We start from the raw sequence: 14,322 nt of genomic DNA on the forward strand, positions 1-14,322 counted from the left end.
GGGGAGTGAGAACATTAGGACAAATAGCTAATGCATACTTGGCTTAATACCTAGGTGATGGGTTAATAGGTGCAGCAAACCCATGGCACATATTTACCTATGTAACAAACCTGCACATCCTGCATGTATACCCTGGATATACATGCCCAGGATATACATTTTATTTAAAATAAAAATAAAAATAATAGATTCATAAAACAGAATATAATTCTGAACTTTGACTCCCTGTACCTTTAAGAGGGACCCTTAAATTTAAAAATCTATTGTATTTTTTTTTTAGTAGGGGTAGGGAATATTTAGGGAATTTGGAAGGGGTTATATAGTTCTTTAAGAATCAAATAGCACATCTTCCTGAAAATAGCACGTAGACAAAGTTTTTTTGGAGATAACCTTAGGAATATCGTAACTCTCTGATGCCACCTCCATATGTGATCCTATGTTGATTATAAGATTTTGATCAGTGGCTTTCAGACTTTTTTGACTGCAACCTAGAATAAAAGATTCATTTACATTGTGACCTAGAACACACACACACACACACACTCTCTCTCCGCCACTCTCCTGCACACAGAAATCATTGATGCTTACAACAATTCTTACTCTTACTATGGGTGATTTACTTTGATATGCTCTGTTTTTTTTTTCATTTACAAAACTGTGGATTAATTTTTTTTGACATGCTAAATTGATCTCAGTAATAGATTGTATTTATTCTTCCTTAGATTCTTCTTTGGAGCAGAATAAAAGATCTGGCCCATCAGTTCACACAGGTCCAGCGGGACATGTTCACCCTGGAGGACACGCTGCTAGGCTACCTTGCTGATGACCTCACATGGTGTGGTGAATTCAACACTTCCAGTGAGGCTCTGGGCCCTGTGGGATTGCCCAGGGATGTGGAGGGTGAACAGAGTGACTTCTGCTGGAGGCCCTGAATGATTAGTGTGGAGGACAGAGCCACAGGCACCCATCCTGATGCCATCTATACTTATATTAGTCCATTTGTGTTGCTATTAAGGAATACCTGAGGCTGCGTAATTTATAAAGAAAAGAGGTTTATTTGACTCACAGTTACGCAGGCTGTACAAGAAGTAGGGTACCAGCATCCACTTCGGGTGAAGGCCTGAGGCTGTTTCCACTCATGGAGAAGGGGAAGGGGAGCTGGCATTTACAGAGATCACATGGTGAGGGAGGAAAGCAAGGAGAGGTCAGGGGAGGTGCCAGGCTGTTTGTAATGACCAGCTGTCCTGGGAACTAGTAGAGTAAGAACTCATTACTATAAGGACAGCACCATGCCATTCGTGCAGGATCATCCCTATGACCCAAACACCTCCTACTAGTCCCGAGCTCCAACACTGGGGGTCGAATTTCAACATAAGGTTTGGAGAGTTAAATATCCAAACTATAGCACTACCCTTAATGGCAACTCAGGCTGATATAAAGTAGCATTCCCTGTTTTCTTGAAAAATTGACTTCAGAGTTGGGGATTGCCCATGCTCCCTAATTCCCTTCTTTTGAGTGCTCACATAGCCTGCTTCCGAATTCTTGGTATTTTGCTCTCTGTAAGGTCATCATTCAGGTCCAAAGAAGTCTAGAACAGGATGAGGTCTCAGTGGGACCTAGACCAAGGTTCTTGCTCTTCAGAATCATCACAGTAGCCATGGACTGGACTCTTCCATCTCAGGCACTGGCTTTGCCATCATTTTTCAGATGTAGCCTTATCCTGCCCAGAAAGACTCAACACCTCACCAGGGGAAGGGATTTCCTACAACCAAAACCCTACTGCAGTTTTCACTTCTTTTTTTTTTCTTTTTGTTTATATGGTGGATATTTTTACTTTATATAGTTTTATTCTTATTTTTACTGTTTTTCATTGTTTGTTTTTAAAAGCTTATCTTATTATAGCTTCTTTGTCCCAGGTTTGCATTACTTTCAATTACAAAAATAAAGCATGATTATTTGAAAAAAAAATACTTGCACATTACAGAAATGCATAAAAGCAAAAAGCAAATGTCACTCTGAATTTTCCCTTCACCTCCTACCTCCGCATCACTTCTCAAAGGGTAACTATTATCAGCAATTTGATATAGATCTTTCTAGACTTTTCCTATGCTAATGTAAACATATATATTTAAAATGTACACGCGCTGTTGTGCAACTTGCTTTATTCACTTAAAATTGGTAGGTATAAAGATAGCTATCCTCTTTTAAAAGGCTTTATCATTAAGAATCCTATTAATGGATATTAAGTTGCTTTAGTTTTGGTTGCTATTATGTCATTATTGTAAGAAACACTTTTGTGCGCACACACACACACACACACACACACACACACACACACACCTGCATACTTGAACGATAAATTTTTATAAATGAAACTTCAATGTTAAAGGATAAATTGTAATAGAAACTGGTAACATGTCATTTAAAAGATGGTAACTATACCCTCATCAAGAGTATATATATGAGGCCAGGCACAGTGGCTCATACCTGCAATCCCAGCACTTTGGGAGGTGGAGGAGGGAGGATCACTTGAGCCCAGTAGTTTAAGAACGGCCTGGGCAACATAGTAAGACCCCATCTCTATTTTACACTAAAAAAAGAAAAAAAAAGAATGTATATGAGATAGTTTATTTACCTATATCCCCACTAACACCAGGTATTGTTACTTTAAAATTTTTGGCTCATTTCAGAAGAAAATAATACCTCAATTTAGTGTGAAGTTCTTTGATGGTGAGGCTACTATATATACATAAATGGTAGATTTTCTGTTTCTTCTGTAAGCTGGCAGTTCATATATTTTGACCATCTGTATGCGGTATCTATTATTTTCTAATTAGTAGAAGTTCTTTATAAATTAATAAGAGCTACGATGTATTAAGTACTTACAAAGTGCCAGTGTTCCATGTGCTACGTAAGTAGTCACTCATTTAATCCTCCACAGCCCCATGAGGTCATATGGTGATCCCATTTTAGAGATAGGAAGTCTGAGGCATGGAGTTAAGTAATTTGCCAGCCAGTAAGTGGCAAAGCAAGAAGCAAAGTTTCTCAGACTAACTTGAGAAACTTTGCTCTTAACTGCCATGTTTTTCTGCCCACTTTCTGGCTCAAGTTGGCGAATATATTTTTCTTATTTTGGACTTTACACGGTGTTTATGGTCTGTCTTTTGCCACCCAGAAATGCAGAAAACCTGTCTGTTCTCTTCCTTATAGCTTCTGTGTTTCATATCTTCCTTAAAAAGATCTTCTTAGAGAAGCATTCTTCTGTATTTTCACCTACTATTTTTACTTTCACAATGTTTAAAATATTTTCCATATTTAGATCTGAGTCTTCCCACCTAGAATATGGTAATATAAATATGTTTTTCCATTAATTTTTTTAGATTTTACAGTTTTTCCCATGTTCCATGTTTTCCTTTTTAAATTTCCCTTTTAACAATGACTGTTTTATTGGTCATTCATTTAACATTTAGCTTTTAAATGTATTTACAGTAGACTTCTCTCCTTTTGTTTTATTTTTTAATTTGTTCAATTTTTCTTGAAATAAAGTAGAGAAAATGAAATAATTTATTTTTAAGAACTGATTTATTTACAGTTCAGAGTTCCTTATTTTTGCCTTCTTTTAAATTGAATTATGTATATGTAGTTTTATTTATCTACATTCTAATACTTTGGCCTCAATTTTTAATTTCTTCTTATTTTATAGATTATCTTTCAAGTTCCTGATGTATATGTATTTATTTACTTTTTATTCTAAGTTGACAATTTATAATTGTATGTATTTGTGGGGTGAAAAATGAATTTATGAATACAATGTGGGATAATTAAATCAAACTAATTAACATATCCACCGCCTCAAATACTTTTTTTAGTTTTTGAGACAGGGTCTCACTCTGTCACCCAGGCTGAGGTGCAGTGGTGCAATCACAATTCACTGCAACCTTGACCTACCAGGCTCAGGTGGTCCTCCTACCTTAGCCTCCCAGGTAGCTGGGACTACAGGTGCCTGCCACCACACTTGGCTAATTTTTTGTATTTTTTTTAGAGACAGGGTTTCACCATGTTGCCCAGGCTGGTCTTGAACTCCTGGGCTCAAGCGATCTACCCTCTTCAGCCTCCCAAAGTGTTGGGATTACAGGTGTGAGCCACCAGGCCCGACCTCAAATACTTATTTTTTGTAGTGAGAAAATGTGAAGTTTACTGTCTTAGCAATGTTGAAATGTACAGCACACTATTATTAACTACAATCACCATGCTGTGCAATAAATATTTTTAAAAACCCTTTCTAACTGAGATTTTGTACTCTTTGACCATCATCTCCCCATTCCTTCCAACTTCTGGTCTCTGTATCCACCATTCTATTATCTGCTTCTATGAACTTGATTGTTTTAGATTCCATATGTATTAGGACATGCAGCATTTGTCTTTCTGTGGGTGGCTTATTTTACTTAGCATATTGTTTTCTTGTTCCATCTATATTGTCACAAATGACAGAATTTCTTTCTTTTTAAAGTCTGAATAGTATTCCATTGTGTATATATACCACACTTTATCCATTCGTCTATTGATGGACTCAGGTTGATTCCATATCTTGGCTATTGTAAATAGTGCTGCAATGAACATGGGGGAGCAGGTATCTCTTTGACAAACTGATTTGAAATCTTTTGGGTAAATACCTAGAAGTGGGATTGCTGGATCATATGGTAGTATTCTATTTTTAGTTTGTTGAGGAACTTTCATCACATTTTCCATAATGGGTATACTAATTTACTTTCCCAATAGTGTACAAATAACCCCCTTTCTTCACATTCTTGCCAACACTTGTTATTTATCTTTCATCTTTTTGATTATACCCTTCTGACAGGTGTGAGATGATGTCTCATTGTGGTTTTAATTTTTGTTTCCCTATTAATTAGGAAGCTTGAGCATTTTAAAATATATTTGTTGGCCATTTGTATGTCTTTTGAAAAATGTCTATTCAGGTCCTTTGCCCACCTTTAAATTGATTTTTTTTCTTGTTTTTGAGTTGTTTGAGTTCCTTATGTATTTTGTTTTTGTTTGTTTTTTAATTTTTAATTTTTGTGCATACATAATAGGTGTATATATGGGATGTGTGTACATGAGATGTTTTGATATAGATATACAGTGCATAATAATTACATCATGAAAAATGTCTCTTTCCCCATAAGCATTTATCTTTTGTGTTACAAACAATCCAATTTTATTCTTTTAGTTATTTTAAAACAGGGGTGTCCAATTTTTTGGCTTCCCTGGGCCACATTGGAAGAATTGTCTTGGGCCACACATAAAATACACTAATACTAATGATAGCTGATGGGCTGAAAAAAAATCGCAAAAAATCTCCTAATTTCTAAGAAAGTTTATGAATTGAACTTATGTGTTGGGCTGCATTCAAAGCTGTCATGGGCTGCTTGAGACCCATGGGCCATGGGTTGGACAAGCTTTTTTTAAAATGTACAACAAAATTGTTATTGACTACAGTCACCATACTGTGCTATCAAATAATAGGTCTTATTCATTCTAACTATTTTTTGGTAACCATCCCCACCTCCCCACAATGTCTTGCTACACTTCCCAGCGTCTGGTAACCATTTTTCTATTCTCCATGTCCATGAGATCAGTTGTTTTGATTTGTTGGATGCTAAAATAAGTGAGAACATCCTATGTTTATCTTTCTGTGTCTAGCTTATTTCACTTAACATAATGACCTCCAGTTCTATTCATGTTGTTGCAAATGACAGGAACACATTCTTTTTTGTGGCTGAATAGTACTCCATTGTGTATAAATACCACATTTTCTTTATCCATTTATCTATTGATGGACATTTAGGTTGTTTCCATATCTTGGCTATTGTGAACAGTGCTGCAATAAACATGGGAGTGCAGATATCTCTTCCATTGACTGATTTTCTTTCTGTTGGGTATATATCCAGCAGTGGCATTGCTGGATCATATAATAGCTCTATTTTTATTTTTTTGAGAAACCTCAAAACTGTTCTCCATAGTGGTTGTACTAATTCACATTCCCACCAACAGTGTACAAGGGTTCCCCTTTCTCCACATCCTCATCATTATTTGTTATTGCCTGACTTTTGGATGAAAGCCATTTTAGCTGGGGTGAGATGATATCTCATGATAGTTTTGATTTGCATTTATCTGATGGTCAATGATTTGAACACATTTTCATATGCCTGTTTGCCATTTGTATGTCTTCTTTTGAGAAATATGTATTCAAATCTTTTGCCCATTTTTAATTGGATTATTAGATTTCTTTCCTATAGAGTTGTTTGAATTACTTATCTATTCTGGTTTTTAATGCCTTCTTGAATGGGTAGTTTGCAAATATTTTCTCCCATTCTGTGGGCTCTCTCTTCACTTTGTTGATTGTTTCCTTTGCTATGCAGAAGCTTTTTAACTTGATGTGATCCTGTTTGTTCATTTTGCTTTCGTTGCCTGTGCTCATGGGGTATTGCTCAATAATTTTTTTTGCCCAGACAAATGTCATGGAGAGTTTCCCCAGTGGTTTCTTGTAGTAGTTTGCAGTAGTTTCATAGTTTGAGGTCTTAGATTTAAATCTTTAATCTATTTTGATTTTATTTTTGTATGTGATTTGAGATAGGGGTCTAGTTTCATTTTTATCCATTGAGCCACTCTGTGCCTTCTGATTGTAGAGTTTAGTCCATTTACATTTGACGTAAATGTTATATTTTTAAGTAAGGACTTACTCCTGCCATTTTGTTACTTGTTTTCTGTTTGTTTTGTGGTCTTCTCTTCCTTCTTTCTTTCCTTTCTGTCTTCCTTTCAGTGGAGGTGATTTTTTCAGTTTCCTGCTTTTTATTTTTTGTGGAACTGTTATATGTTTTTGAGTTTGAAGTTACCATGAGGCTTAAAAATAGTATCTTATATCCCATTATTTTAAGCTGATAACAACTTAACACAGTTTGCATAAAGAAACAAAGACAGCAAACAGAAAGCTAATACAAACTCTATACCTTAACTTCATTCTCCCACTCTAAAACTTTTTGTTGTTTCTATTTATGTCTTATTGTACTTTATATGTCTTGAAAAGTTATTGTAGTTATTATTTCTGATTGGCTCATCATTTAGTTTTTCTACTTAAGACAAGAGTAGTTTACACGTCATAGTTACAGTGTTATAACATTCTGTGGTTTTCTGTGTACTTACTACTGCCAGTGAGTTTTGTACCTTCAGATGATTAAATTGCTCATTAATATCCTTTTCTTTCTAATTGAAGTACTCCCTTTAGCATTTCTTCTAGGACAGGTCTCGTGTTAATTAAATCCCTCACCTTTTGTTTGTCTGGAAAAGTCTGTGTTTCTCCTTCAAGTTTGAAGGATATTTTCACCAGATATACTATTCTAGAGTAAAAACTTTTTTTTTTGTCTTTCAGCACTTCAAATATGTCATGCCACTCTCATCTGGCCTGTAAGGTTTCCACTGAAAAGTCTGCTGCCAGATGTACTGAAACTCCCTTGTATGCTATTTGTTTCTTTTCTCTTGCTGCTTTTAGGATCCTTTCTTTATCTTGGACCTTTGGGAGTTTGATTATCAAATGCTTTGGGGCAGCATTCTTGGGTTAAATCTGCTTGGTGTTCTATAACCTTCTTGTACTTGGGATATTGATATCTTTCTCTAGGTTTGCAAAGTTCTCTGTTATTATTGCTTTGAATAAACTTTCTACCTGTATCTCTTTTTCTACCTCCTCTTTGACACCAATAACTCTTGGATTTGCCCTTTTAAGGCAATTTTCTAGATCCTGCCAGTGTGCTTCATTGTTTTTTATTCTTTTTTCTTTTGTCTCCTCTGACTGTGTATTTTCAAATAGCCTGTCTTCAAGCTCACAAATTCTTTCTTCTGCTTGATCAGTTCTGCTATAAAAAGACTCTGATGCATTCTTCAGTGTGTTATTTGTACTTTTCAGCTCCAGAATTTCTACTTGATTCTTTTTAATTATTTCCATCTCTTTGTTAAATTCATCTGATAGAATTCTTGAATTTCTTTCAGTTTCCTCAACATGGCTATTTTGAATTCTCTGTCTCACATATCTCTGTTTCTTCAGGATTGATCTCTGATGTCTTATTTAATTCATTTGGTGAGGTCATGTATTCCTGGATGGTCTTGATACTTGTAGATATTTTTCTGCATCTAGGCATTGTATTTATTGTAGTCTTTACAACCTGGGCCTGTTTGTACTTGTCCTTGGAAAGGCTTTCCAGATATTTTGAAGGACTCGGATGTTGTGATCTACGTTGTATCTGCTGTAGGGGGCCCTGCAAGCCTAGTAATGCTGTGGGTCTTGTACACACTCATGGAGGTACCACCTTGATGGTCTTGGACAAGATCTAGAAGGATTCTCTGGATTACCAGGCAGAGATTCTTTTTCTAGTCCCTTTACTTTCTCCCAGAGTCTCTCTCTTTCTGTTCTGACCCACATAAAGCTGGTGACACACTCCACCGCAACTAGGACTTTGCTGGGTAAGACTTGAAGCCAGTACAGCACTTGCCCAGGGCCTGCAGTAACCACTTCCTAGCTGCCATCTATATTTGCTCAAGGCTCTGGGGCTCTACAATCAGTAGGTGAGAAAGCCAGCCAGACCCGTGTTCTTCTCTTCAGGTTGGCAAGTTTCCCAAGGCCCTGGGTTGGTCCAGAGGTGCCATCCAGAAGCCAGGGACTAGAGTAAAAAACCTTAGAAGTCTACCTAGTATTGCATTGTACTGTGACTAAGCTGGCATTCAAACCACAAGACACAGTCCTTCCCATGCTGTCTTCCCCTTTTCTAAGGCAAAGGAGCCTCACCTCATGGCCACCACCACCACAGGCCCACAGGGAGTACTGCCAGTGTACTGTTAATATTCCAAGGCCCAAGGACTCTTCAGTCAGCTTGTGGTTAATGCTGCCTGGCCTGGGACTCACCCTTCAAAGCAGTGGGCTCCCCTCTGGCCCAGGGCAGGCCCAGAAATGCTATCCAAGAGCCACATCCTGGAATCAGGGACCCCAAGCCCAGTTGGTGCTCTACCTCTCTGTGGCTGTACCTGAAGCCAGCAAGTCACAGAGTCTCACCCAAGGCCCATGACATACTAATTGGGTATCACTTCTGGTTTTTCAGGGCCCAAGGGCTCTTCAGTTAGTAGGTGATGAATTCTCTCCAGATGTCGTTGTGAAGATAAAAGAGGTTTATTTTCATGAAAACATATATACTTTAAAGCACCTTATGAAATGTATGTCCATTCCACCATCAACATTTTTACCTCTGTTGGGAAGATAATTCCTTTTGACTCCACAATAATTATTTATATCTACACATGGGAATGTTTCTTTTTTATTTGTGTGGTTTTGGTTTTAAAGCATTTAATCATTACAAGACTCCTAGAATTACTATATCATGTGCTCTCTGAAGGCAAAGTTCCCATCTAATTTTTCTATTTTATCTTTCTACCTCTAAGACCTAAAACTCAATAAATGTGCATTAAGGCAGATATCCTTGGGAGAAGTGACACAGAAACTATGTATTCATGCTCTGTGTCCATTGTACTTCACTCAGGGTTAAGACTGCCTTGATGAGGGCAAGTGTAGGAAGACTCTGAGGCCATCTGAGAGTAAGTGGTGAAGACTTAAGAAGTGGGGCAGGAAACACAGCAAGAGAGAGTTGTCAGGAAGCAGAAAAGCAGTTGGCAAAAGCAACCACTGAAGGACTGGTTTTACCTCTAATTCTTCCTGGACTGGGGATAATCCTAGAGGGCTTGTCTCTGTCAGATGAACTTTTGGTAGCATTTCCCAGAACCATGACTCAAAACTTGCCACTGTGTTCCCATCTGGGATTTGGAAGATAAGGTAAGAACTTGGAAAGAATTCAGGGGACACTTAGTTAAATTGGGTCAAAATGTGTCCATTCTCCAGCCTCCGTCTTGGCAGTGACACATTGGAAAATGGTTCCACTATGACTGAACAGCCAGGGAAGAGTACAGCTTATTTATACTCTCTGTTTTCCACTTTATTTTCTACAAACTATGTCTTTTAGAAATAAACTATCAATCTTGCCCAGACTGGAGAAAGGACTGCAGCAACAACCCTGTTTCAGTATTCTGGAAAACGGTTTCCCGCAGGGTAAGTACCAAGTAGTGAAATTCTAGAGCTTTGGAGACCACAGAACTTAAGACGTTACTCAGTCAGTGCTTGGTTTTAACACTTTTGGATTACAAATACTTTTAGGAATGAAAATATAGGATTCATTCCTGAGAAAAAGGTTCAGATGCACATGCCAGAAAATTTACACATCCAATTTTAGAACATTCTTAGAGGGTCCATGGGCTCCAGTTGCAGAATCTTTGCACGTACCCACTCTGACTTTGGCTACCAGGAACCTGGGGCTTGGTTTAATCCTCTGATTCAGGTATTAGTCAATCTTAGATACCTGGGACAGTCGTAACAATCTACATGTATAGACCCCTTACTATGTGGCAGGTACGGTCCTCAGATCTTTACATGAACTAGTAACTTGCATCTTCACCAGAACCCTGTGAAGCAGGTGCCATGAGTATTGTAACCATTTAACACATAACGTGAAGGTACAAGTAAACAAGGAATCTACTAAATGTACAGAATTAGTAAGAGGCATATGTGGGAGTTTATCCCAAGCTGTCTGACTCCAGATTCAGAATCTAGGCTGGGAAAAACTCACCACTCCACCCTCTACCTATTTTTTTTAAAAAAATTGATACATAATAGTTTTACATATTTATGGGGTATATAGTGATGTGGTGATACATATAAGGTATAGTGATGAAATCGGGGTAATTAACATATCTGTCATCTCGAACATTTATCATTTCTTTGTGTTGGGAGCATTGAATATCCCCCTTCTGGCTAGCTGAAACTACATATTATTAACTGTAGTCCTCCTACAGTGTTATTGAACACCAGAATTTATTCCTCCTATCTAACTATAATTTTGTATCTTTTAACAAATCTCTACCTATCTCCTCCTCCTCCTACTTTTCTAAGCCTATGGTGGCCTCTGTTCTGCCTTTTACTTCCATAAGATCAACTTAATTTTAGCTTCCATATATGAGTGAGAGTATGTAGTATTTAACCATCTGTTTCTGGCTTACTTCACTTAACATAATGCCCTCCAGTTCCTTCCATGTTGCTGCAAATGACAGGAATACTTTTTTTTTTTTTTTTTTTTTTTTTTTTTTTTGAGATGGAGTCTTGCTCTGTCACCCAGGCTGGAGTGCAATGGTGTGATCTCGGCTCCCTGCAACCACCACCTCCTAAGTTCAAGCGATTCTCCTACCTCAGCCTCCCCAGTAGCTGGGACTGCAGGTGTGGGCCACTATGCCCGGCTAATTTTTGTATTTTCAGTAGAGACGGAGTTTCACCATGTTGGCCAGGCTGGTCTCAAACTCCTGACCTCAGGTGATCCGCCAGCCTTGGCCTCCCAAGGTGCTAAGACTACAGCCATGGGCCACCATGCCCGGCTAATTTTTGTATTTTCTGTAGAGACAGGGTTTCACTATGTTGGCCAGGCTGTCTCAAGCTCCTAACCTCAGGTGATCTACCCACCTTGGCCTCCCAAAGTTCTGGGATTACAGGGGTGAGCCACTGCACCTGGCCAGGAATACATTTTTTAATTCCTGAATACAATTCCATTGTGCACATATACCCCCATCTATTTCTAACTTTACTCAAAGCTACCTGTGTATATTTATTTATCTTGTAAGTTGCTTCAGTGTTAAGTGGACAAGGAAACATTTCTTTTCAAGTGTGTTAGGGAAAAAAAGAGAAAGGAAGGAAGAAAGAAATGAAAGAAAAAGGTGTGAGTAACAATACACTAATTATAACTTTCAAAATTAAACTTAGACATCTGAGGAACTGGGGCAGGTGGAAATGTATTTGTTAAGTGCATATGTCTTAGTCCATTTGTGCTGCTATCACAAACTACCTGAGACTTGGTAATTTTTTTAAAACAGGAGTTTTATTTTCTCATTGTGCTGGATACTTGGGAAATCCAGGATTAAGGTGCCAGCAGATTCAATGTCTGGTGAGGGCTGCTGTCTGCTTCCAAAATGGTGCCTTCTTGCTGTGTCCTTACATGGCAGAGGCAGAGGGGCTAAAGGAACCTAGCTAGTTCCCTGGAGCCCTTTCATAAGGGTGTTAATCCCATTCATGAGGGCAGAACCCTTAGGGCCCAATTATCTCCTAAAGGACTCACTACTTATTACCATCACATTGGTCTTAGGTATCAACATAAGAAACACATACATTCAAATCATAGCAGCATATCTGTGACAAGCCTTGAAGTAGTTCCTCTGTCATTCCCATTGAGTCATCCCCATAGGTAGTGTGACAAATCCCTACATTAAAGGTGAAGAAACTAAGACTCAGAAGTTAAGTGACTCATCCAAGTTCCCTGGGCTAATAAGTTACAGACCTAAGAGCCTAACCTAGGCCTCCCTGATTCCAAAGCCATGCTCTTCAATTTTGTTCTTTGAATCTGCTTATTGGTTCTGTCTTTTAAATGACAGGTTTGATCTTAACTCTAGGTTGGTACCTAGCTAAATCTCTGTCTTAGGGGGATTCATGTAAACCCTGGTACGATGGAAACAGAAAAACAGCCTGGAAGTTGACATAAGGAGACCATGTTTAAACTTGGGCAGATTCCTTTACTCATTCTGATCTTCTGATTCCTCATTTGTCAAATGGAAATCAAAATATACTTGTTCCATAGGGTTACTGCAATGTTTAAATGAGATACCACCATCCTATAACATAACCCAAAATCCACCCACTTCAAAAATAATTCATTGAGTACTTACTATGGACAGTGAACATTCATGGGCACTTTATAGTTTTTGTTTGTTTGCTTTTTCTGAGAATAGTTTCCATTTCACTACTCTATGGTATGTTTTAGGACAGTGCTGTTGCTAAAATCTTTTAAAGCCAAGTCACATTTTATATGTATCAAGAACCTCCTTGCGTTCCCCACTCAGTCCCTGGCACTAGGAATACAGAGGTGCACGTGATTGAAGGCGTCCTGCCCTTGTGAGCTACCAGCACCTTTATTTTGCCAATCACTCATGGATGTATGTGGATGGACTTCTTTTTTCAGACTTGTCCCTTTCTTTTTCTGATAACAGAGGCCATGTTTTTTTTTAATTTTTAATTTTTGTGGGTAGGTTAAACTCATCATTATAATACAATACAGTTGGATAATGTGGAGGGAATGTAAGATGCTGTCAGAGTCAGAGAAGGGGACTTGAGCTAGTCCCAGGGGTTGGGGAGGCCTCCTGGAGGGAGCATATAGAACACTATTTTGTTCATTTCATTTTTCCAAAGTCTAACAAAGATTCCTGCTGAATGTTTCTTGCATGGAGAAATAAGACCCTTTGCTCAAGCATATTTATTCATTCACTTATTCAGTCCTCCTTTCTCTCTGTGCTTTTCCAGGCCTAAGGGTCCCCTGTTCTCTCCTCAGGTTCCCCTCTTATGGTGTTCCCATTTCCCTCATCCCTGAATCATCCACCTGTTCCCACTAAATGAAGCATAATGTTTACAGTGCATGACACTGAGAAAGCACTTTCATCTTCCCCCTCTAGACATTCCTCTTACTCCTCTGGACTTCTGACTTCTGAACCACTGAACCACCAGCTCTATGAACTATAACACTGAACATTGTTCACTTAGAGATTGGAGCAACTGCTTCAAGAACTCTGATATGAAGCATAATCCGTCCAGTGGCTTGGAATAAAAATTGTGTAGACCTGACATTCCTGGGCTAAAACCATATGGGATATCCTTCCTTAACCAGCTATTGCTAAGTATTGTTTTGAATGAAACTGCTGGAGGATGGTGATTAAGTTTGCATGATGAATGGTGGGCATTTTTTTTTTTAAGTTTGCAGAAGCTGCCTGTGATGTGGTCCATGTGATGCTCAATGGATCCCGCAGTAAAATCTTTGACAAAAACAGGTACACATTTATTTTGCATCCTGTTTGCAAGTATCCTGTTGCAAATATCACAGTGAATATTTCATCTCTAGAAAGAATATGCTTTTCATGTTTCAGGTCAGTTCTGAAGATTAGGGCCAAAAAAGGTAAAAATTTTGAATTCCGTGGAGAGAGTTGTCTCCTGTCAATGTGTTTGTCTGATTTCTCCTTTGCCAAAAATTGTCTACCAGGTTCTAATGGCCACTGCACTGTATCTAGCCCCTGCTCTTAACTTTTGCAGGCCTGGTGTAATTTTCTCAGCTTTCTCTCCCGTTACCCTCCACCCTACCCATTGCT

General features: G+C 38.3%; 1 protein-coding gene across 2 annotated transcripts in view; it reads left to right on the top strand.

The window, feature by feature from the left end:
* Nucleotides 1-14,322, top strand: part of CD38 (CD38 molecule) — a 74,905-nt gene that overhangs the window by 45,831 nt on the left and 14,752 nt on the right. Inside the window, exons 3-5 of one of the 2 annotated variants that reach the window (NM_001775.4) lie at nt 723-858; nt 10,059-10,144; nt 13,934-14,007. In NM_001775.4, coding sequence (NP_001766.2) covers nt 723-858; nt 10,059-10,144; nt 13,934-14,007 — 296 coding nt within the window. The remainder of the gene's footprint in view (nt 1-722; nt 859-10,058; nt 10,145-13,933; nt 14,008-14,322) is intronic. The other variant, NR_132660.2, reaches the window with a different exon arrangement.

This window comes from Homo sapiens, chromosome 4, assembly GCF_000001405.40.
Source record: "Homo sapiens chromosome 4, GRCh38.p14 Primary Assembly".
In the NCBI taxonomy this organism is placed as follows: Eukaryota; Metazoa; Chordata; class Mammalia; order Primates; family Hominidae; genus Homo; species Homo sapiens.